The following is a 24942-nucleotide window of genomic DNA, read 5'->3' as shown; positions in this document are numbered from 1 at the left end:
GGCATGTTGCTGGAAAGGTAGAGCTCTCAGCCGCTGGCTCCCTTGCTCCCTTCCCCTCTACCTTTCTCAGGAACCTCTCTGGGGTTGGCACTCCTACTTTTAATGTCTGCTCCCAGCATACAGCAGGGAGATGCTGAGAGGCAAAGGGGCCAAAGAAAACAACCAGAGTAAGGAAATGGGTTCAGAAGGGGTTTATCCTGCACTAAGAGGAGACCTTGTAAACTAGTTAAGATTATCATCCTGTGAATAAGGTGAATAATCACTATTATTACCACAGTACATTGCCATTGACAGTGATACTTAGGGCAATACTACAGAGCTCTCCTCTTCAATGCTGCTTAGACTGAGGAGGTGGGTAAAGCACGCAGTCTCAGAACCTGGAGGGGAGTCATCTTGCATCCCCACTCTTCACAAATACCACCCTCTTTTGTGTCTCACTCCTTCCCTCCTAAACCATTCACTAGCCCATCAGCTACAGAAGGGAGAGGGGATCAGGTGAGGGATGGGGTCAACAGTAGAGAAATCCAAACATGGATACTGCCCTTGTGACCCCAAAGCTCTGGCTCACCCTAGAACCCATGACCCTTGACAAGATTCTTTCTTCCAAAGGAGGCCACAATCCCCAAGCTGCCACCCATGCTGGAAAGCAGAGAAGACTGGCCCCAAAATCGGTTTCAGGATAGATGGAGACCAGGCAGGCTGGATGGCAGCTTCTGGCTCTAAAGAGTGAAGGCCCTGTCCCCAAAAGGTGGAGCTGGGAGCAAACAGAGGGAAAAAGCTGGACAAAAAGACCTGGAGACAACTCCTTCCACCAGGCTGGTCTTCAGAGGATCACTGGGAAGAACCCAGGGAAGGAACAGAGACCAGCAGTGACAGATAGGCTTTCAGGGGAAGAGAAGAGGAAGAGTGCAAACAGGGAGGCTCTGGGAACTGGGAGAGAAAAGGGAGAGACTACACCCAAAGAGACAGAGCAGTGGCGAGAAGAAAGAGATGTCATGCCTGGAGGTTGCCAGAAAGCCCCGCTGGACCACCCTGTCTGCACCCCCCGTCCCCAAAACCTTAAATGCTAAGCAACGTCCAAGAAAACAACTTGTTAATATGGGGGGAGAGCGGTGAGGGAGAAAGTTTCCAGGAAGTAGGGAGTTACCTGACTGCCTTTCACCATCACAGGGGGAGCTGGTGACACTCGCGGCCAAGGATGGAGATGCTCGGAAAACACTGGGCAATAGTATGGAGCCGCGTGAGCCAGGCACACCCTTTCATGATCTCCTTCAAACACGAAACAGCAAAGCCCACACACCGCCCGGCTCCTCGCCGCTTCCATCCTCAGGTGCTAGCCCACATGTGGGTGCGAATGAGAACACACGCGGCGTGGGCGCGCTCGGGGTCAACAGCAGTGGAGAGGTGGGTGGGTGTAGGTGAGCGGCGGAGGAGGGAGGGAGAGAGGAAGAAGGGGACCTACAGAGGGGGAACCAGAGGGGCGCGCTGGGCTTCACATCTGCACCGCCGCCCCCACCCGCCACCTGGAGCGCGCCGCCCAGGGCAGGGGCGCCTGGACGAGAGTGGACGCCGGGCAGCGCGAGGGCGCCCCAGGGGCGGCCGTGGGCGCCGGGCTCTGCCGGCGCAGGGTGCGCGCGCGCGCGCTCCCAGCCGCGCCCCGAGCCGGGCGAGGGACCCCGGGCCTCTGGGCTCCGCGGCGCCGGCGCCCTCTGCCCCCCGCGCGGCTGGCCAGGCAGCCGGGCTCTCCAGGCGGACGCGAGAAAGCGAGGCGGCGGCAGCCACTTGGGGAACTTTTCCCCCCTCGCCTGGAATTTCACAGGAAACACATGCTCTGGAGAAGCTGGGGCCCGGAGGGGGAGGGGCGGGAATTTTCCGCTCCGTCTCGCGCGGCGGTTCGGGCCCCGGTCCCGCCGGGCTCCCGGGCGCTCCGACGAGGCGGAGGCGCCCCTCGCGGACGCGGCCCCGGGCCACTCCGCAGGGACCGGCCCCGGGGCCGCGGGGAGCGCGGGTAGGGCAGGAACCCGGTGGAAAAGGCAGGGAGCCCCGGCGAGGCGGCGGGGTCCAGCCTTACCTTGGTGGTTTTCCTCTGGAATGTACATCCTCGTATTCTCATTGACCATGGACCAAAAATGGTTTTAATAGGAGGAGCAGCCACGAAGAGGAAGAAATGTGAAAACACCCCCCGGCGGGTCTGGATTAATCCCTCCTCCGAGGCCGGCGGCTTTCGCGCAAGATTCGAGGAAGCCGTGGTCTGCAGCGTTTCTTCTTCCCCGCCGACGATTACCTGATTCCCATTATGGCATCAAACCCCAAAAACTGCTCCTTTCCACTACTGCCTCCTCGAGTGAAACTGTAACGCATCCTCAGTACATCCGGGCCCCTTCCAAGAACTGAGCACCGCACCTCCGGCGGCTACACCATTTGAAAAAATAAATCGGGAGAGGCAGGGCGAGAAGAGGCGGAGAGGAGGGGCGGGGGGCGCGCGGGGCCCGCCTGGGCCGGCAGGGGCCGAGGCGCCTCTGCCCACTCCCAGCGAGTCCTCCTGAGGCCCCTGCCCGGCTCTCTGCTGTCAAAGGGAGCCGGCAACTCCTGGGCGCGGAGGCAGGAAGAGCCGCCGCCGCCGCTCCGGGCCCGCCGCGCCGCGCCGAGCGCCGCTCTGGCAGGAGCTGTTTCTGCAGAGGCAGCGAGAGGGAGACACCGGGCGCGCGAGAGCGCCGCGCTCACTCCCCCCGGCCCAGCCCCGCCGCGCCCGCGCCCGCCCCTGCCCGCGCCGCCCGCCCGCCCGCCCGGCGCGCCGGAGGCAGACGCGCTGAACGCTTCCAGATGTGGCTGCGGCGGCGCGCAGGGAGCCGGGCGCACGGCGCGGGGCGCACGGCGGCGGACTGGAGCCCGAAGTCGGGCCCCCTCCCGGCGCCCGCGGCAGCGCCGCCCGAGCGAGCCCTCCGCCCGCATGACGTCAAAGGGAGCGGGCCCCGGCCGCCGGCGGGCGAGGGGCGGCGTGAGGAGCCCCCGGGGAGGCCGGGGCGCGCGGCGCACCCGGGCGCCAGCCGCGGTGGCCGCGGTGGCCGCGGCGCGGACACACCCCCTCGCGCCCCGCCGGCGGCGTCGCGCCCCCCGCGCCGGCCTGCAGCCCCCCGCCCGCGTTCTCTCCTCCGCTGCGGCGGCGCGTCCCTGCTGGGCCGGCCACGCCGGGAAGGCCTCTGTGAGCGGAATTCCAAGGAGGAGGAATACAATTTGCCCGACTACCAGAGTCTCGTTTCGGATCGGGCCACTGAACAAAACGGCAAGATGAGCCGTGATTCCGTGATTCTGTTTGATCAATTATAATCAGAGCGGTTGTAGAAGTGACAGATAGAGGAGGGGAGGGGAAGCGGGAGGGGCAGCGAGGCGGAGCCTGGTAGGCGAGGCAGCGGTGCCCAGATGTCTGAACAGATTCCTAGACCCAGGTTTAATAATTCCTTGGAGGCAGCCGAGCACGTGTTCTACTAGGATATCCTTACCTACTTCTCTTAATTATTTCTGCAACTCCGGCAGGAATCTATCCAGCACCTCTCCTTCCCGGAGAAGCAAACACTTCCCTCCATCACTCCCTGCAACCACAGCAAGTTCCACGGCACCCCCTGCAGGACCGGGCTCCCCTCCAGTGGGGCTTCGTGATCCCTTTCAGGGGGGCCTACAACTCCCTCTTGGGGAAAACCTCTACCTGCCTCCACATAAGACCTCCTCGCCTCCACATCCACCCTCATTCCCTGGGTGACCCTAACCATTCCCGTGGCTTTCAGCAGCTGTCTATATCAAATGTCTATCTCCAGCCCAGACCTCTCTCCTGAATTCCAGACTACAGCTGACTCCGTCTGATAGACATTTCAAGCCTAATACATCCAAACACTGGATTCCTGATCTCTTCAAAGCCTGCTCCTCCTCACACAGCCTTCCCCATCGCAGTCGATGACCATCCCATACTTCTAGTTGCTCAGTTCAAAATCCTGGAGTCACTCTTGACTCCTTTCTCTCATCATTCCACGTCTAGTCCATCAGGAGATCCTGTTGACCCTACCTTCAGGTGAATTCAGAACCTGACCACTTCTCATTTCCTGCACTGCCACCACCTGGGGCTGAACCAGCATCCTTCACCCAGGTTTCTCCTGTGGCTGATCCCCCTGGTCTACCTTCCCTCTCCCCTCTGGTATTTTCTCAATACAGCAGTCGGAGTAACCCATTTAAAACATCACATCCCAGCACTCCTCTGCTCAAAACCATCCATGGTTACCCATTTCACTTAGTAAAAGCCATGGTCCTTGTGGTGACCTACAGGAATGGCTGAGTACAAATCCCCTTACATCATCTCCTACTGCTGTCCCCCTCACTCGGGATACACTAGCCTCCTGGCTGGGCCCCAGACACTCCAGGAATGACCCCTCAACACACACGCACATTGTAAGGCCTTTGCTCTAGCTATTCCCACTGCCTGAAACACAAACTCCCTCGGCTTCTTCAAGGCTTTCCGCAAATCTCACCTGTTCAGTGAGGCTCACCAGGACCTCATCCTGATTCAGTACTGACAGACCCCCACAGCGCTCCCTATCTCCCCTTACTCTTACTGAAATCCTGTCTAACATACTATATAGTTTACTTATTCATTAACTTTATTGCTTATTGTCTGTATCCCCCCACTAAAATGTAACCCCCATGAAGGCAGGTGTCTCATCTATTTTGTTCACCAGTGCCTAGAGCAGTATCTGGCAGATAGTAAGTACATAATATGTATTGAATAAATGAGTGAGTGCCTGAGATACTTTCAGGAGTGTTGCAATTCCCCCTATGAAAATGCATCTGTCCGTCCCTTGGTACCTGAAACCTTACCACTCCTGTTTCCTTCCTTTGTCCAGTGGTTCTGGCCCCAGTGTAAAATGCAAGTGCCCCTGGGAGAAGTATTAAGCTGTTTCGGTCATCTTCATTCTAATGTTAATAGCGATCTCAATTTTGTTGGTTACAAGAGAAATCTGGCCTCTTTGCCATTCTGGTGTGTTCATACTCAATTTTCAACTTAATAGAGAAAATTAGAAATGACACAAATTCAAATATTTCGCATTTACTTTAGGATGCATTATAGGCCTGTGTTTCAGAGGCTGCTGTAGCTGATAATTTGTTTAAATGAATAGTAAAATTGGTTTGCATCCCCTTTACACACAAGTGCAGGAATAATAATAATAGCTAACACTACTGAGTGCTCTGTGCCAGGTACTGTGATAGGCCCTTTACAGCCTTTATCTTATTTAATCCTCACTGCGATCCAATAAGCTATGTGTTATCGTCATGATTATCCCCATTTTACAGATATGGAAACTGAGACTTCGAGACTTGAATTACAATGTCCAGGGTCACCCAGCTGAGTAAATGTGGAGCCTGGACTTAGCCCAGGCATATCTGACACCAAACTCAGTCTCTACTATTATCTTACTCATTCTTCTGAGGGGTGAAGTGTGGGTGAGCTGGTGGGGGCAGGGCTGCAGGGAGATGAACAGGGTGAAATGATTGCAAAATATGCTGCAGATAATTCACAAAGAGCCAAGTCACTGGGAACAGAGTGTATGTGTGTTAGGGGGTCACGTGCAGGATTTATAGCCCAGCTTTTCTAAAGGTAGGCACTGTATAAATCTAGCAAGTAAATATTACCTCCACGCTTCTTTAGTTTCATTTTTCACTTCTCTTTTCAGCTGTGAAATGTGTTCTTTCCTTTCCAGAAAAAGGTATTTCCTAAATATTTGGTCTTGCAGTATACGCCCATATCCCAGCTTTTAACTTTGGAACACAGCCCTGGGTGTGCTCTTTCGAGGTAACAAATTCTCAACATGACAAAAGGAGACCATTGTGAATTCCGATTTGGGGATTTGGGAGGTGGTGGGAGCAGAGGAGGGAGTCTGCATTTCTCTGTCATTGAATGATTTGATTCTCCAGCTAAAGAATCTCCCATAGGTCTTCATGTGTGCCCTCTTTCTGCATAGTATTTTGCTTATATTTGCATGAGCCTTTTTCTCTCCTCTTCCTTACTACATTTTAGGTGTCTTCAAGAAGAGAACTGTGTTTATTCTTTGTGCATAACATAATGCCTTGTACATATGGACACTCAATTTGTGTTGAGTGCATGATTCACTCTGGAAAAGATTTTTAAATGTGACCACAGATATTTTCTTTGGAAGCAATTAAGAGTGCACTGAATTTGTTAATTACAGTATATTTGTAAGAGTGAAAACCTGGAAATGAACTAAATATTCAACAAAAATGTTGGTTAAATAATAACACTGAGAGATTATTCTAAGTGCCTCACATACATAAAGTCATTTGCTCCTCCAAACAACCCTGTGAAGGAATTGCTTTTATCCACATTTTACCGGTGAGGAAACCAAAGCACAGAAACGTTTACTCACTTGCCCATGTTTCACAGCCAGTTGATGTTGAAAGACCTGGGATTTGAACCCTAGCAGTCTTCAGAGCCTACGCTCTTAACCACCGCATAGATGAACTAGAGTGCATTCATACAGTTAAATTCTACATAGACATGAACAATATTAAGGAAGAATATTAGTAACGTGGAAAAAGATGATTTACATTAAAAGAAAAACAAGTCACGAAAATATTACAGGCACTATGATTTCATTTTCCTTTTAAAGTCAGGTTTATATTTGAACTAGGGAAAAGACTAAATAGGGTTCACACCAAAATGTTGACAGTATCCTCAATCTGGGGCAGGTGGGGAAAAAAAGTGTTGACAGTAGCTGTCTTTGGGAGGTGGGATTACACGTAAATGTTTCTTCTTCTTCTTCTTCTTCCCTGTCTGGTCCAAGGCTTGAAAAGCCAGGTTGCCAAGCAGGCTCTTCCTCTTCCCTTAGCACACACACACCTCTTGACACAGAGCCCTCCCCCCACTGCCTAGCCAGGGACAACACTGCTAATCAATCTCTTCAGAATAAGTCTCCCATCAAGTCTGCAAGGTGTCCCTTCTATTTCTCTCCCTCTGCCCACCACAACAGCCACTCAGCACTAAATGCTGCCACCCACCTGCAAAAATTACCTGTGCAGTGTTTCCAGCCCAAATGCATTGCATTGTCCTCATTGCAATCCAAGCTGCCTGGTTGAAGTGTCAGCCACTCTGTGTTGGTCGTAGAGAGCTAGGAGCACCAAGATGATGGGTAAATCTTAACAGTGACCTTTTGGGAAGATGTTTCATCCTTAATTTCTAATCCACATAATTGCCTGTATATAAGGGTGGGCATTTCAAACCAGGTAAAGTTGATTAGCAAGCCAGAGTAGGAAGAGTGGAGTCAGAAAGCCCAGCTTAAATGTGCCTTCTGACACCTTACCTTCTTTATCTCCACATAGGGCCACGCACAACCGTTCCTTCTCAAAGGCCAGCGATGGGAACATCAGTGTGGTGGTTTTGCATTAGGTCAACTTCACTAAGCTGGAACCTATTTCCCAGAATTGCCTTCCTTATGTGGTTCTGCGTTAAGGTTGTCCACAACAGGTATTTGTGGAGCCTCTGGAAGGTGGACATGAAGCAGCAGCATGCGCTCATTGTCACCGAATTGCTGGCTCACCCTGATGGTGGAGCCCACAGCTCCTCCAGCTCCTGCTAGATCTCCTCCTTCAGCTACTCTGAGGCCTGGGCAAAGTACGTGTCCAGCTCTGTAGTCAAGATTCCAGCTTTATGTTTCATGGTCGAGATCGGAAGTGGTGAAAGGCAAACAAGGGTTTTATTTGTCCTTGTGGGCTCCACTTTGGCCTCACTCTCTCCCACATCATGTCCTGCTTTCCTCCGGCCTTTTGGCATTACGGCAACTTCACACCCATCCTCAGATGCAGAGGCAGCAGCCTTCTAGAGATTCTTCACCAGCTTCCACAACTGGATAAGGTCTAATCTCTGCAATCAATCCCTTCCTCCACATCACTCACGGTGGTACCACTTCCCTGACCAAAGCTGGCTGATGCAACAGTGTAGTGCTCCCACCTGTGACCAGGTTACTTGTTTAGATATTTTTATGGGTAAATAGTGCCTGGCACATAGTTGCCCTCAATATATATGTTTGTTGAATTCATACTAATTATCATCATTTAATATGCCTGGTGAGTATCAGGTGCTATGATAGGCACTTTAAATACAGCGAAGAGCCTGGTCTTTGGAGACAGGCCAGACACAGAGCCAGGTTCTGCCTGCTATGAGCTATGGGCATGTGGACACCTGGCTTTACCTCTTAACACCCAGTTTTTACAATATGAAGCTAATAATGGTACCTACCTCCATAGGGTGGTTGTGAGAATGAAATGAAATAGTCCAAGTAAAGTGTGTGGGGTGCACAGTGTGCTCATTTAATGTTAGCTGTTATCATCCTTCACCCCTGTGAAAAAGATTTGTTGAGTATCTACTATGTGCCCTGAATTCACCACAGCCCTGCCAAAGAGACTTACCACCATTGTACAGGTGCAAAACAGTAGCTAAGAGGTTAACTTTCTTGCGGAAGATTGCTTTGTCAGCAAATTATAGAATCAGGATTTGAACCCAAGTCTACACAAACCCAGAGGCCGTGCACTGGCCGCTACTGTGGGCAACATTTCAGGCACTAGAACTAGAATGGAGGAGAGAAGAAGGCTTTGGGGGAAATCCCCCAACCCACGGTTCAGAGAGCAAAGCTGAAGAGGGTGCAGAATGGCCTTTCTCCTTCTTTTGGAAGACCCATAATAACGCTGAGGCCTTCACAACTTATGTTAGTATTTAAAAACCTCTGCTGGCAGAGTTCTCCCTTCCATCACATCTCCATCTTTCCTCCTGTCTGTTTATCTAGAAGCCATAGGATGGACCAGATCCCACCTAACCCACTGGGCTGTTATACACTACACTTAGGGAAAACTCTCCTGGCAGCTCAGCCCCAGCGTCCGTCCCAAGGGGAAGCCAGAGTACTCGGAGTGTGAGGAGAATTCAAGCTTATTCTACAGCAGCCTAAGTTGTTAGGATAACAAGGTGTGGTAACATGACTAACATGACTAGCCTTGTGATTTTCAGCAATGCTTAGCCCCCAAAGACAGAACGCAGCGAGGTTATTTATGGCCTGATCCTGGGGACTGGCTCTCCCGGTGGGAGAATTCATCTACCATGTGTGAATTCAAATGATGGCCCTCTACCTCAGCAAGCCAGTGGTGCATGCTAATTATGTAACTATCTTGGACTTCTGTTTGCTCATCTGCAAAATGGGAATGTGTGGCCTCATCTCCTGAGGCTCTTTGGAAAGAGAAGTTGATACCAAGGGAAGCGCTCAGTCACCAAAGCTGTACCTTCATTACTTGTTAAGGCCCTGAGAAAGTTTGTTTCATCTGGGTGACCTGCTGACCCCCAGAAGGAACCACATAGTCAAGGCTCAGACCTATCCACTATTGTGTCCACTTTTTTAGGTGCTCAAAGGCCTTCACAAAGTGCGAGCCGTTCCCACATGTATTCAGTTTTTGCCATAGCAAATTACCACTAGCTGGGTGTTTTAAAACAACAGCAATTTATTCTCTCACAGTTTTGAGGCCAGAAGTTGAAAATCCAGCAGGGTGTGCTGCCTGCAGTGGCTCTCAGGGAGAACCCCTTCTTTGTCCCTTTCCAACTTCTGCTGGCTGGCAGCATTCCTTGACTTGTGGCCACATCACACTGTCTCCATGGTCACCTTGCCTCCTCATCTTCTGGCAGTCAGATCTCCTTCTGCTTGGCTTTTACAAGGACACCTGTCATTGGAATTAGGGCTCCCCAGATAATCCCAGACGATGTCTTCATCTCAAAATTCTTAAGTTAATTACATCTGCAAAGACCCTTTTTCCTGATAAGCTAACACTGACACTCTCTGGGGATTAGGACATGGACTTACATTCTGAGCGGCTGCTATTCAACCCACTGCGCTACCCTAACCTACAGGAATGTTTCTTCACCCATTTTCACTTGAATCTCAAGTCCAACATTTGCTAATTCCTGAAACTTTAGCAACCTCTTTCTCTCACTGAGGCTCAGTTTCTTCACTTATAATACAGAAGTTATTGCCATATGTTAGAGCTTAAGTGAGTGGTGACGAAGGTGCTGCACTATGGAGGATGCTTCTTCCCACAGAACTTGGTCTTACACTTAAACAATCCTTTCAGTCAATCACCCTCGGCTATTTAATTAGAGAAATTGAATGCTTGGAGAGGTTCAGTAACCTGGCCAAGCCAACTCAGCTGGGTAGAAGTGGACCTGGCTTTAAACCCCAAAGACCATTCTGATCCTCAACCTCCCTAACCCCTTTACCTTCTTAACTGTTCCAGGCCAGTTCAAACGTATTCAATGGAGCTAGATAGAAAATGTCTTCTCAAAGGAAGCTGAAAAGTGTTCTTTTCAGTAGGGCTTTCAGAACCTTCCTCTTCTAATTAGCTTTATAAATGTTCTCTCTTCTCTTTTTACCCTTCTGTGAATGCATTCTAAGTTCTCTGTCATTTTCAAAACACGGTCCTAAGAGTAAACACATTTATTTGGCCATCAGAAATCAGCCATCAACCCTCATTCTATTCACAGTCCCCCTACTAATATAACTCTTGGCAAACTCACCTTTCCTTCCATATTTCAGCTGGCATTCAATCTGTAATGTCTTCTCTCTCTGACCCCTGGTTCTTCTCCCTCTCACCCAAGGATGAATAATAAATGACGGCTCAGTTTGTATTTGCATTCTGGATTATTCCTTCCCAAATGGTCACTTTGCTTGCATCTCTCTTAGAATTCCACACATTAATTTCCAGCTTGCTTTCCTACAGTATCAGAAGTCATGCGAGACTAGGGTTATGCAGCCAGGAACATTTCTGGTTCCTAGTCTTACACAGGTCAGGTAACCCTTTCCTTGATATGACATTTGGGACCAGGCCACCTCAATAGACAAAAAGGGATATTTGTTCCCTGAAACCTCTTTTTTAAAGATGATGCACTCTTGTAATTGTAGATTCCAAGGATCTTTTATAGGGATACCCTTGGGTCAACCTGCAGCGGTCCCATCCCTGAAATCTAAAAGAATATAGATAACACTGATAGGAATAATTCCAAATATTTACATTCCTGGAACGGTAAACCTCAATGCCATATAACTAATTAACACTTGGCTAGTTCACTCTAAGTTGTTGATTCGGCCATTTTCCAAGTACCTGGGGGCGGGGAAGTTACAACTAATCACCACCGCCCTGCTAGAGAGGTCATTGCTCCATAATACATCTAGAAATAGGCAAAGTCACGAGGGCAACCAAAGGGATATCTTCTCAGTAGTGACTCTCATGAACTTGCCGAATGACTTCCACTTAGTGGCCAAGTGGAGCCTGGTGGAAACAAGAGCTGGGCAGAGTTGTCAAGTATGGCAGGACACTTCCAGTCATGTATTCGTATGACCCAGCTGAAGTACCTCTGCCAGCTAGATAGGTCTTCCTTCAGTCAAAGTCATACTTGAAGGTAAGTTTCAATCTCCCAAGGTTTACATTTTTGCCTCTTTACATAGCAGATTCAAATTTTCTGCCTTTGTCATGTTCGGTCCTGCTTACATAATGATTTTTTGTGATGAATATAACCCCATTATTTTATTATTAATCACTAACTCTTGGTAATCATTTTTTTAACCAATGACCAATTGACCAATGCCACCCATATCAACTTCTACTATAGTTTAGTTAGCAAGAATATTCTGTTTTTGGCCGGGCGCGGTGGCTCACGCCTGTAATCCCAGCACTTTGGGAGGCCGAGGCGGGTGGATCATGAGGTCAGGAGATCGAGACCATCCTGGCTAACAAGGTGAAACCCCGTCTCTACTAAAAATACAAAAAATTAGCCGGGCGCAATGGCGGGCGCCTGTAGTCCCAGCTACTGGGGAGGCTGAGGCAGGAGAATGGCGTGAACCCGGGAAGCGGAGCTTGCAGTGAGCCGAGATTGCGCCACTGCAGTCCGCAGTCCGGCCTGGGCGACAGAGCGAGACTCTGTCTCAAAAAAAAAAAAAAAAAAAAAAAAGAATATTCTGTTTTCTTCTCCTCTGGGGCACATGGCAGAGTGAGCTTCTCAGCCATTCTGCATTTGGACACAACTATTGGACTAGTCCTGACGAATGAAATGTAAGCAGAAGTGACTGTGTCACCTCCAGGTTGAGGAGATGGAAGACCTGTTTCAATTCTTCTGTCTCTCCCCTCTCCTGCCACATTATCCAGATGGTACAGCTGCAAGATAGAGAAGCATCCATCAACCCTGAGTCCCTGAGTGACTTTGTGAACCAGAACCTCTCACTAGCCCCCTCTGGATATAGTATGATCAAGAAATAGATTTGTATTATATTAAGCTCCAGGAATGTGGAAAATATTACCATAGTATGTTAACTATCTTGACTAACAGGCTGGAATAAATCAACAACCGCATGTGTGTGAACCATGTGTGGTTAGGGATTTGCCAAGTTCTGATGCATTGAATTGACTTCTGTTCCAATCAGCATAATATCAGTCAATGATTCTAATTCATAGGAGGGCAGGCTGTAACCATAATGATCTTGCGATGAAGTAATATTGCAATCATTTATAATTTATGTAGCACATAATAGTTCTATTTGTTCCAGATAAACGGGTGACAGTGTCTATTGCAACTGATTATCCAGATGAAACACCCCAAAACACGTCTTCCTCTTAAAGTACAGGCATATTTCTCAAAGTACAGGCATATTTATGCTTGTATTTATATTGAATAGCTTATGCAAACTATTCTTATGTGGATGAATCAAGAACATGCTAACAATTTCCCAAGTGGCCTTCGAAAGTGATTGGAGTAGTGTAGGACATCTTGAAACTTGTGTACAAGTCATGATTTAATAGAATTCATTTCCAGACCCTCAACTTTCATATGTGCTCAGTCTTCACGTTCACCGGAGGACAACCCGGGGCAGAGCCTGGAGCCCACCTGCCGCTTCTCCTGTCTCTCAAAGGGGCATCCTTATCCTACACTTCAGCAGAGAAGCACACCTGTCATTCACCCTGCATCCTTCCAGGTCCATATCCCTGTGGTGTGAATGCCCCCAGGACACCAAACAAGGAAATCTAGGAAATACTGGTGCCCAGACAAGGAGACATTTGAAATACAGGTGTCTAGAAAGCCTCTTGAATCGGACAACATATCCCTTCGATCATGTAAAATATATTATTTCTGGTACATTTTATATTAAGAATTACCTCGAAAAGCTCATAATGTAAATATGTTGTTTTGCTCAGTTGTACATTAATAGTATCTGTGATGAAAATTCAATCCAAAAGAAGCGTATAACACAAAGCCTTATGTTTATAAAATTTTTAAATTTTAAATTTTAATTTATAAGCCTCTTTTTGTTGCAGAGTAATATGGTAGCGTGATCAGTAAAAGACTTTCCAGCATAAAAATATATCGTATTAGGGTAAAATTTTAAGAAGGAAATGGAATGTAAATATGTATCCAAGGAGAAAAAGAAATGATGAAAAATCTTTGACTGTTAAAAACAGGGCTTTTATATATCTTTGAATACATAATAGAAGGTATCAAATAGCTGCAGTGTTTATATTTTATTGGAAACTTTAAAAGAGTAATGCAACAATTTTATGTTAAACTGTCAAGATTTATAAAGCACCAGAAATTGCATCATTTACAACCATTTAAAATTATCATGAAACTTTTGGGATGTCAACTTGAAAACGCATGATGAGGCACAGACTTTTTCACAACTCTTTTGGGGGGATCTGCAAGCAAAGCACTGTGGAGGCCCTGGGTCAGCACAGGCTGCAGCCCCGTAAGGTCCTGGCTCGGCAGCCCCGGCCACTGAACGTTGGTTCAGGCTGCTGCTCTTCACAGGGAAGGCCAGGGCTACAGACCTTGGCAGATAAGTAAATGTTCATAAAACAAATGAACATCTCTGCTTTCTCATTCTCACTCTGTCTTCTATCCCCAACATGATCTTGAACAAGATGCCTCCCTTCTTGGGGTTTGTAGTCTTCTTGAGATTCTTGGAGAAAGCAAGCAAGGTGTCCTGTGGTCACATTATCCCAGCGGATATCAAGAATACCCTTAGCGGGCCGGGCGCAGTGGCTCATGCCTGTAATCCCAGCACTTTGGGAGGCCGAGGCGGGCAGATCACGAGGTCAGGAGATCGAGACCATCCTGGCGAACATGGTGAAACCCCGTCTCTACTAAAAATACAAAAAATTAGCCGGACGCGGTGGCAAGCGCCTGTAGTCCCAGCTACTCGGGAGGCTGAGGCGGGAGAATGGCATGAACCTGGGAGGCAGAGCTTGCAGTGAGCCAAGACAGCGCCACTGCACTCTGGCCTGGGCGAAACAGCAAGACTCCGTCTCAAAAAAAAAAAAAAAAAAAAAAAAGAATACCCTTAGCATCACTGTGACCCACACACCCCTAAGCAGTCTTTTTCAACCCAGATTGTTTGGATTTTATTCCACAACAGAGTCACTCAATTTTAAGTATGTTTTTAACCCAGAAAGGCCAAACAGAGCAGGCACTAGGACTTCACTGCCTATTTCTACCCTTTCAATGTTTGAGATGGAATTTTTCTCAGCCTCAGAAGAAATACTTTCAGTTCTGGCCTTCAATCAGGATTTATTGGACAGATCTGATTCTGCTGTATTTTCATTTACAGCCTAGAAGACAAAAGTGTCAGGTATTAGAAAGAACTCTGAGTTTAAAGCTTGTATCTATTACCACTTGGCTGTGTAACTTTAGCCAGGTCTCTTAATGTTCTTTGAGTATCAGTTCCCTCAACCATAAACCAAGGAACTTTCAAGGAATGGATTCTGAGTACAAAGTGAAATGTTAGTATGAAAAAGCTTGTCAAGGAAAAGTATAGACATAGCAGGGTACTTATTACCACAAAGATGGAATTTTCTGTCATCTTTGACAATCCATTGAAGCACCCAATAATCTTTCTTGGTCCAACCTGAATATCATTAACCACAATTCCAACCATTTTCTTTTTGTCTTTTATTCCTCTTTGGAAAAAGAGACTAGTTGGTCACCATCTCTTATGTAAGAATTAATTGTCTATTTGAAAAGAGGATGCTTAAAACCAGTTCTTCAGAAGTGAAAGTCAAGGTATTCGACATCTCCACATCACCCAGCCTACCGCTTAGACTTTGATAACAAAATTCTCTCACATTTCTTATAAAAGTCTAATTAAATCTCAACAATTTTATCCATGTAACCATTTTCTGCTTGAAAATTTCCCTTAAAACTCTGAAAGTAAATCCTATAGGGGAGGTAGTTAGATCAGCTACATTATTTGCTGTCACTTCTATGCATTTAGTGAAGGCTCACCAAGATGGATGTTCTGCAGAGAGCAGTTCAATGTTAAAAGAGTTTGGGAAGCACAGAGCTAAGAACATTTCCTATCACACAAAGACCTCATTTAAGCCATCTTTGATAGTTTCTACAATACCCAAATCATGAATGTTAAAAACAGAAACAAACGAACAAAAAAAAAATAGATGGAGTTTTGCTGTCCATCCTCAAAGTCTTAACTCTCTCCCTGCTGAAGTCATGGGTGTGCCACAGCTGGGTAGAAAAGTACCTGGATGGGAAAGCAAGTTGAATGAAGAGGTGATGACTTGAAAGAAAAATCTAGTGCCGTCAGGCTTTCCATGGCATCCAAGTAGATGCATTGGTCTCTGCCATCCTCCATCTCCTCTTTGCATAAATCCTACCCCCATCCCCATCTCCAGAAGCACTCTCTCTACATATATAGGCAGCCAACACTGACATGATGCCCCACAGGAACCCAAGAACTGTAATCCCAGCTCAGGCACAGGGATGCTCACCCCTATGGCCCAATGGTCCAAAATCATCCCTTATTCCTTCTCCCCTCCCACACCCAAACTGCAGACCTCCATCCTTTGCATCTGTGTGCAAACTCCTACTCATCCTTTAAGACTCAGCTCAAGAGTCCCGGGTCAAGTTCTTCTTCCTCTGTGTTCCCATAGAGCCTACCGCTATCTCTATCAAAGCACTAGTTATATTGCTGTAGTTATTTGTTTACCTCCTGTATTCCCAACTAGACTCTCAACATCTCAAGGGCAAGAACGATGTTGTACTTACCTTTGAATTTCCTTTACCAAGAATAGTACTTGGCTCACAGTAAGTGCTTAATAAACATCTGATGAATAAATGAATGATTGCTCTATCTATCCTGTTGGTGGTAGAGAATTAATCCAAAAAATATATTGCTAATGGTGCAATTTCAGGCATATTACAGGCTGGTAAAAGAGAAATTTTGAAACCAAGAGACCTGCCCTACTTCTATCAATCATCTCATAAAAGTATCTACATGAAAGGCTGCTCTTGAGCTGGTAGCTAATGTTCCTGGAAAAACTCCCTGGCAGGTTACCCAGGGAGATTAGTTTAAAGGGAGGTTGTTACACTTGTCCTCTCATCATTGTTTAGTGAGTTACTTAGCCAAAAAGATCCTCTACCAGGGGATTGGAACTCTGCATGAAAGTTTCAGCTCTTATTTGTCTATTAAAAGGCCCATGTTATTTGCAAAGGGCTGTCTGTTGGCCTCATAGACCAATATTCACAGCACCTGTCTTTTGCAATTTCCTACCTATGGACATTGTGTTTACTTATATAACATTTGCAATCCTTGCATTTAACAGTGTCCCATTTGTAACACCTGGATTTATCAATTTCCACTTCCCAGCATCTGTCTTTTACAGGCTTTTTTTTTTGACAAAATTTATGTTAAGGGATTTCACCTGTCAACATACCTGGGCACAGGACAGTCAGGGTGTTGCTGTAATATTGGAGTGAATTGCTAGGAAGTGACTTGCATGGGGAAAAAAACATCAGGTCAAGCAATAAAAAGGAGAAATACCATGTAAGCCAGATTTATTTCTACAATAACTGGAAATTAAAAGGAGAAACAGTTGTCACATGTCAAAGCTGCCCGGCAAAACTAGCACCCTATTAAGCATGGGTTCAGCTATCTCCAGAAATAGTTCCTGAATCATATCTCAACAATTCTCTTCTTTTATGTTTCTTTGACTTATCAAAAACTCTCCTAAAATCCATTCCTTATTTTGAAAACTGGACTCTGTATCTTAAGTGGCCAAACATAGCAAAATAATAAAGATAAGAAAGAAGTATCTGAGAAGCAGCACTAAGAATTCAGTGTCTGTGAGCAATAATGAGGGCTTACTGAGCTGGGAAGTTTTGGGGGTCACCCAAAGCTTGGGGGTCCAGTCTGTTACATAGTCGGATTAAGTAGTCACCCACATAGCATCCTATTAGTGATTATAAAAGTCACCCTATCCCCAGATATCTGCAATCTCTGTCAGAGTGCCACCGTGACTCGAATTCTATGAAAGGAAATATAATCTTTAGGTTAAACAGTGATTCATTAAGTACCCTATTTTAGAGTGCAATATCCATATGAGAAAGAACCCTGCAAATCCTAAGTCACTAACAGCTTCATAGGAATTATTTAATCATGTCTCTTTTCTCCAGTATGTCAGGGACCTGGGCTATGTTGAGTGCACAGTCTTCGTCAGTAGGGTTTTGTCTGGGTGCTTTTGGGAGGGAGTGAAGGGAAATGCAGAGAAAAGGAAGCTTTAATGAGAGAAAAGAATATTGAAAATAGAGTCGGTGGTCCCGAAGAGAAGCCTCACCTGCTTTACAACGTTGCCTAGAACAATACACTCGAAATCCACCAAGAAGGACTCTGTTTTCCAGTGGGCTAGACCAGGGGGCCTCAAACTTAAATGTGCATAAGAATCCCCTGGGGTTATTTTTAAAATACAGATTCTGATTCAGTAGATCTGGGTAGAGCCTGAGATTCTGGATTTCTTATAAGCTTCCAGGTGAGGCTGATGCTGCTCTACCCCAGACCATGCTCTGAGAAGTGAGGGTTATATAGAAGGCACAAGTATCTTCAGAACTTCGTGCTGTTCCTCCAGTGGGACACAATTACAATCCTGAGCTGATGGAAACCCTTCCATGACTGGTACGATGGTGGAAACCAGTTCTGCAGTGCACCCCTGCCTGACCTGCACAAAGTGGGGAACACGTCCCTTCCCAGGAGACTTGCATCTGAGTTGGGACCATTCTGACCCTTTTCTCCCCTTCAGAGGCCCAAGGACATTTTTGGTGTACCCAATGCCTTTTAACAATTTCAAGACCAAGTGGGGCCCGAAGATACTTTAACTCACAGCTAACTCTGAAATAATAATACAAGAATTGCTGTTAGCGGACAGTGAGCCCAATGCAGTGTTTGATGATACCAGTAATAAAGGCAAGAGAAATCCTACAATCTCACATTTACATGTGCAGAAGATTAAAATTCCTCCCATGCCTACCAAACAAGGAAGTCTTTATTTCTGTCTCAAACAACTTGAGGAGGTAAGAGAATACAAGTAAATAGCAGATTACTCCGTCTCATGATGTGATCCAGTCGTTGGCTGAAGCTCTGTTTACTCCTATGTATAGATGAGGCAGGATGCTCAGAGAGCTTTGGCTGGTGGAACTTTGCCTAGAATGAATCCTGCCTAAAAACTGCCCCCTAAAGCAAGGTAACTCATGCCACCTGGAGCAAGAACCAGCTCCTAAGGACATACATAGCAAAGTAAGCAGACAAGAAGGTTTTGAAAACAAGGGGAAATGAGTGAACTTGGTCTCTTGCCGCTGGTGTGGAGCCTTTGTTTTGCTGTTAGCAAACCTTCCTCCCAGGGTACCCCGAATCCTCCTGTGCTAACCCCTCCAGTGTCAAGACTAAGCAGCTACTCTGTAGCCCATTTCCTCATCTGGTCACTAAAGGGTTACCTGATAATGACTTAAGGTATAACCCTTCCTAGGGCATTTGCTTTTTAAAGATAGGAAAGGGGAGGCTGGGCGCCGTGGCTCATGCCTGTAATCCCAGCACTTTGGGAGGCCGAAGAGGGCAGATCACAAGGTCAGGGGTTCAAGGCCAGCCTGACCAACATGGTGAAACCCTGTCTCTACTAAAAAGACAAAAATTAGCCGGGCGTGGTGGCGCATGCCTGTAATCGCAGCTACTGGGGAGGCTGAGGCAGGAGAATCTCTTGAACCCGAGAGGCAGAGGTTGCAGTGAGCCAACATCGCACCTACAGCCTGTGTGACAAAGCAAGACTCTGTCTCAAAAAAAAAGATAGGAAAGGGGAGGGAGGATGAAAATCCACTGTCCCATACAACTGCCCTCTGCTGGGTGTTCATTTCTGAGCTCTCCAGAGCTAGAGGCTGGGGCAGCACCCACAAAGCCTGATTCCCCTTTTCTGTGCAATAGATGATCAGAGCGCCTACCCTGAAGTGACTTCTGGAAGGTCCAGCTGTGAGTGGCCCAGCCCACTCCACTGCTCATTCCTTCCCACGGCCCACTCAGACACTAAGGGATAGATGGCTTTCTGGACTAGGTCTACGTGGCATCATTTCAGATTTCAGCTACACGCTTTTCAATGCAACAAAGCGTTATTATTTCCACTAAGTATTGAATTGCACACGATACCAATGCAGCACTTGTCTAAAAGCTATGACATTTGAGAAGTCCTTGGGAACCATCCCTAACTCACCCTCCAACCCCATTTACCAGTAAAGAAAATAAACCCCAAAGAAGGTGTTACAAGAGATAACTTATTCACAAGACCGCAAAATTAGCACCAGAATCCTCTCCTCCCCTGAAGCAGAAGAGCCACAGCGTCTACCCTCAAGGAAAAAGACTTAAATCACAACGGTGGAGATTTAGATCCGGCATAAAGAAGAACTCGCTGGTAATGAACATGATTAAATACTAGAACAGACAGCCACAGGGAATTGTGAAATCGTCCTCCCCAGAGATATTTTAAAATAGGACAGTTAACCATCTGTCTGAGATGGTTTAAGTACCGTCCTGCCTCGGAAGTAGGAAAATAATAAGATGATCCCCTCACCTGTCGCATTTGTGGTTCTATAGGCACACCTGGCTGCAGGTGCACATATTATGGGGATCCCAGCTTGAATCTGGGCTGTGTCCCCTAGTGGCACTCAGATGAGTCCGCGCACTTACACAGCGTGGGAGGCCCACAGGGCTCTGTTGAGGTTGGGTGGGAAGGTGTCTGCACAGAAGAGGTTCGCACAGGAGATTCTGGGGAGAAAAGAAGGGAGGAGGAAGAAATGGAAATGTCTATTTCCCTGCACCCCATCACCTCCCGGCCGCTTGTAGCACCATCCTACCCACTCCCTGCCTTGCAAGCCTCATGACTGCCCCTCTTGCAGACAGAACCCAGGGGCTCCAAGAAACAGAGCCCTTCTTTGTTTCCAAATGACATCGCACATCATCCGGTAAGAGGAAAGAATGGTTTTCTCGTTTCCTTAAAACATCCAGAATGGCTCCGGCCAGGTGCAAATGACAGGAAAACGGCCTCCTTCAGGACTTGGAAGGTGGCAGTTCTGGAGCAGCAGGAGAACGTGCCTTGGCGCAGACGCCGGCGCCCCGCGGAGGGCCCGGGCACACGCGCCGGCGCAGGGGAGGCCACGCCCCCGGGCCTTGCGGTCTCCGCGCATCTCCGCGCACCAGCAGGGGGCGCCGGCACCTGAGGTGGACGACGGGGCTGTCGCGGTTGCGGCTCTGAACCGGCGTCGGCCTTTACCGTTTCCACGTGTGCCGCTTCCAGTGCCCAGACCTCCTTCTCCTCTTCACCCCCTCGCCTCGCCAGCTCCTAAGGCTTCTTCCCCTGTCCCGCAAAGTTGGATTCGGTGTCCCATAGCATCCTGTACTTTCCTAATTATATTTACACACAGAATGAAAATCACCTGTCTGCCTGTCTCTCCCCATTCCCATCTATAGATTCCTTGCACAGGGACTATCTGTTATTCACAGCTATATCTGCAGAGCCTGGCACGAAGGAGGCACTCCGAAAGGTGTTTTTTGAAGAAGTGAGTACATACATGAATGGGAAACTACGAGCTTAAATCACACTAGATGAGCCAGTTAGCCCTCGAATTATTTCAAAGTCGTCGGATATTGAACCAGCATATTACACTGGCCTTCTCTTTGAGCTGTGTGCTGGGGAAGTTTACTTTAGAGTAATAAAACAGAAAGTATTAAGAGGGACTCTTAGTATTAAATACCCACCACAGTACCCTCAACCTTAGTACCTCAGCCTCTGCCTGAGACCTCCGAGGGATGGAAATGCAGCCCCAGCTGGGCTTGTTCATCCCATCTCTGGACAACTCTGACCATGAGCAAGTTCTTTATCAGGTTGCGTGGAATCTCGTTCCTCTGACATCTTCCCTGTAGTTCTCTTTCAGTTATCTGGCATCTCACGGAGAAAGTGTACTCCCTTCCACACACCAGGGAGGCTTACAAAAAGGAACACGGCCTTGGATCTAAAAGGACTTGGATGTGGCAAAATCTTAACTTTCCCACACTAAGCATGTGAGTTTGGGCGAGTCACTGAACCGCTCTCTTCAAGCCTCAGTTTCATCATCTGTATAATAGGAATAAAGATATCCACCTCATGGGGTTGCTGTGAGGATTAAAATGAGTTAGTATGTTCCAACGGCCTAAGGTGTAGCAGATGTTAAAAATGTGGTCGTTATTATTATTAATAAATGTTGCAATACAGTTACTGTATTCTCTTCCTCCCCTCTCTACGAATCTTTGCTTCTCTAGGCCAGAACATGAGCCACTCTCCCATCCTCTTCCATGCTCCTCTGTCTTTCTCTGTCAGTGCTTCTCTCGGAACATGCTGCCAGCACTAAGCTGTCTTCGAGGGCAGTATGGCCAGGGCCAGGCAAACTCTCACCACCTCTATTTGGAATGCTAGACATCTATTCACGGTGCCTACATTTACTTTAACTTTATTGGCAGCTGCATCTGCTGAGGTTCCTGGGCATTTTGACTATGTTATTCTCACTTCTCTAGAGGGATGTTTGCTGGAGATTTGACCTGGGGAATGATTTTAAATGAGAGCGAGCTGGGATGTTGTTGTTGTTTTGTTGTTGTTGTTGTGTTGTTGTTTTCTCATGTTTTAGCATGAGGTTGCCAGAAAAACTTTGTCCTTAGGATTATACTGTGAATCATGTCCAAAGCTCTGAACACAATGCCCCCAAGCCCCAAGGACTCTGAGACTCCAGGAGACATATAGCCCAGAGGAGTGGAGATGAAGCTCCATTTTTCAGGAAAGAAGGGACAGTCGGCCTTATGTGTTTTGAAGATGTAAACATAGCCTGGGTTTGGAGAGAAAATGGGATCCATGTCCTGGGTTCCAGGGTGTCGGATGCCAGAGCTGCCCCCTCAGCATCCCAGGATAGACTTGCAGGCCAGGTGGTGGCCGAGCACATGGGCGGACTTGAGCCTGCAGAGGGCGGGCATCATGGGGGCATCTGTGTCAGGGCCAGAAAGAGGACCCAGCTGGACACAGAGACTGGCTTCACTTGTTCTGGGACATCCTGTCCACACCTTCCTCAGGGTTCCTTGTACGTCAAGGAATGGAGAATCAAGCACCTCCCCTCTGGAAGTGGAATGGCCAGCGGAACTCCCCCAGGGTGGGTTAGCTACATCACTGCACCTAACCAGGCACTGCCTGTCAGTGTCATAGGCTCACCTGGCATTTTACTCCACCACCCCCTACCTTCAGTTTAAAACCCTTCTGATCAAACTGGGAAACATTAATTTTTCACAAAGAAGTCCCCTCGAAAGCAAGCACTGGAGGGATGTTTTATAGGGAGAGAGGTTCTCTTTCCTGACTTGTGTTATTATTTCCAGGACCAGCGCTTCAGCGTTGTTAAATCAGGACCTCGTTCTATAAATATTTCTGATTTGAAAAGCCGCATTCATGTTCTCTACTGCAAAATCTAAGCCCGAGATGGCAGCAGCATCTCAGGAATACGGAATATGAAGAAAACACAGCACAGTTGTTAGCTCCAGCTGCTGATGTTCTGAGCTGCCTGTCCATAATTCAGAGGACAAGACAAGGTCACTCATAAACACCACTGAACTGTGTCTCCTTTCACGGGTTCTGCATAAAAATATTGCAGCCCCAATGAACATCAAACAAGTGTAATGGATTGGTTTAATTCACATCCGAACACTCACAAACACAGTGGCCCTAATAACATTCCTGTTTCCAGTGGATTTCCATGCTTGTCAATTATTCTGAAACATCAACTGTCTTAACGTTGACAAACAAGATGCTAACTTGATTTTTTAACAATCCTTTTCAAGAGCAACAGAGTCCATTCTCTATGTGTGCCATCCACAGGCATGGGCTTGAGCCTCCTGGCCGGGTGTGCTAAGTGCCCCTAGGGTACACCCAAAATACGGCAGGTGACAGAGAAATTGATGTTCACTTTAGGGACTGTCCATGGCACTAAGGCTGATGTGAGTTATACTGATATAAGCACTCATATGACACCTAAAACTGGGAAGGAACTCAAGCAGAGATGGATGGGTGTTTGGGACCACAGGAACTCCTCCAAGTTGCTCCCTTAGAGCATGCCCGCCCCCTCCGGTTACCGAGACTGCCGCAAGCCGTGCTCCCACTCACGTGTGAGCCACCCCTCCTCCCTCTACCTTGCAGCATGGGGATGGGAGCTGTGGTTACACTGCTCTTACCCCTTCCAAACACATACACACAGACACACACACACACACACACAAACACACTCACACACACACTCACACAGAAAGAGCAACACATTTGTCTCCAGGGTGGGGAAATAATAAACAAAGGTGACTATTGCATACTCATGAAAAGACACAGCCCACAGCTGCCCTCTCTCTCCTGAGATCCTGCCACTGTTGCTCAGGAGGCCAGTATTCTCGGGGCATCTCAGGAGGATTGAGCAGGACTTGGAGAAAGCCAAAGAAAGCCACTGAGCCATCTACATTCAAAATGGTATCAAAGCATTCCTTACTGTATAGTAAAATCCAACCATGAATTTGATTTGGGATACAGCCTGGGCATCAGAATTTTAAAATCTCCCCAATAACTTTATTTTACATTCAGAACCTTTACTCTAAGGTAAGGGGTAGTAGGATAGGTAGAGAGATAGAGACCCAAGGAGACTGGCTTTCAAGCTTCATGTCCATAGAAAATAAGGATGGAAATAAAAAAGAAACTCATTATCCAATCCTCTTTTGTTCAAACAAAAGACATGGGACAAGGAATGCAGCAGAGGAGACAGGCACGCATTGTCTTCTGGAAGGTTGAGCCTGAAGAACACAGCACAGCCCCCCATTCACCGTGCTGCCACTTGTGTGCCAATGAATCTGGCCTCCCACTTAGTCCAAACTCACTTGGACACCAGAGGGTTTGGAGAAGAGAAGAGTGAACAAGCTCTTGAGTGCCACGAGTTTTGGTTTCTCCGTACTGAGACCACAATGCTGAGAAAGACAAAATCCAGGTTGGACCCCCAAGAGAGTGATTGGACCCTCCAATTCGGATGAGGAGGAGAGGGTCTGCCTGGTAGGCAAGAACCAAGGATGCCCATGGGCACTTAGGCAGCAAGTCTCTGGGTGCCTTTACTACAAAAGAACAAAATCTATTGTCAGCAACTCACATTAGGAAACCACTGAGAGGTCTAGGCTGCTGTCCATCCTTAATTATGGGTAAGTTGAACCTGTAGAGACCTGTCTTGCCTTCTAGCAGCACACACCTGTGAGTTCTTGCCTAACATAGGACAAAGGAGAAGGCAAAGATGTCAGGACAAAGCTTGCCTCTGTCTTATGAACTAAACTCATGGGTAATGTTCCCAACTTGTTGCTGGGTCTCCAGCTTCCACCTGCCTCACCTCAGGTGACTTTTGAGCCTTTCTGCCTCAACTAAGTTCCCTGAGCCCAAGCTCCCTGCTCCTTCAGGCCTGTGGAATGTGGCCTCATGCCTGCCTAACTTTACGGCCCAAGAGGATGC

At 47.5% G+C, this 24942-nt stretch overlaps 1 protein-coding gene and 1 long non-coding RNA gene across 56 annotated transcripts in view, besides 2 other annotated features; both read right to left on the bottom strand.

Moving 5' to 3' along the window:
• The window catches only part of CACNA1C (calcium voltage-gated channel subunit alpha1 C), a 727171-nt gene that overhangs the window by 642268 nt on the left and 59961 nt on the right, over nucleotides 1-24942 (bottom strand). For 27 of the 55 annotated variants that reach the window (XM_017019926.3, XM_017019934.3, XM_017019946.3 and 24 more), the window contains exon 2: nucleotides 20094-20171. The exons of 4 other annotated variants lie outside the window; for them this stretch is intronic. In XM_017019926.3, coding sequence (XP_016875415.1) covers nucleotides 20094-20171 — 78 coding nt within the window. Of the gene's footprint in view, nucleotides 1-2071; nucleotides 2697-20093; nucleotides 20172-24942 lie in introns of those variants that run through there. 24 more of the 55 variants (NM_001167624.3, NM_001167623.2, NM_001167625.2 and 21 more) reach the window with 1 other exon arrangement.
• Nucleotides 5598-6099: an enhancer, noted in NCBI's record as "NANOG hESC enhancer chr12:2158750-2159251 (GRCh37/hg19 assembly coordinates)". NCBI's record gives its function as "activates a minimal SCP1, AML or CMV promoter by ChIP-STARR-seq in naive H9 embryonic stem cells {active_cell/tissue: H9 hESC(naive)}" and the evidence as "EXISTENCE:reporter gene assay evidence [ECO:0000049][PMID:30033119]".
• On the bottom strand, nucleotides 6220-7331 carry CACNA1C-IT2 (CACNA1C intronic transcript 2). Its single transcript, NR_046768.1, has 2 exons — nucleotides 7073-7331; nucleotides 6220-6549 (listed from the first exon to the last, which is right to left on the bottom strand). It is a non-coding gene; the product is annotated as a CACNA1C intronic transcript 2 (long non-coding RNA).
• Nucleotides 20452-20741: a silencer, noted in NCBI's record as "silent region_4127". NCBI's record gives its function as "represses an Ori minimal core promoter by ATAC-STARR-seq in GM12878 lymphoblastoid cells {active_cell/tissue: GM12878}" and the evidence as "EXISTENCE:reporter gene assay evidence [ECO:0000049][PMID:35858748]".

This window comes from Homo sapiens, chromosome 12 (assembly GCF_000001405.40).
Source record: "Homo sapiens chromosome 12, GRCh38.p14 Primary Assembly".
Classification (NCBI taxonomy): Eukaryota; Metazoa; Chordata; class Mammalia; order Primates; family Hominidae; genus Homo; species Homo sapiens.
This window is presented reverse-complemented; position numbering and strand designations above follow the sequence as displayed.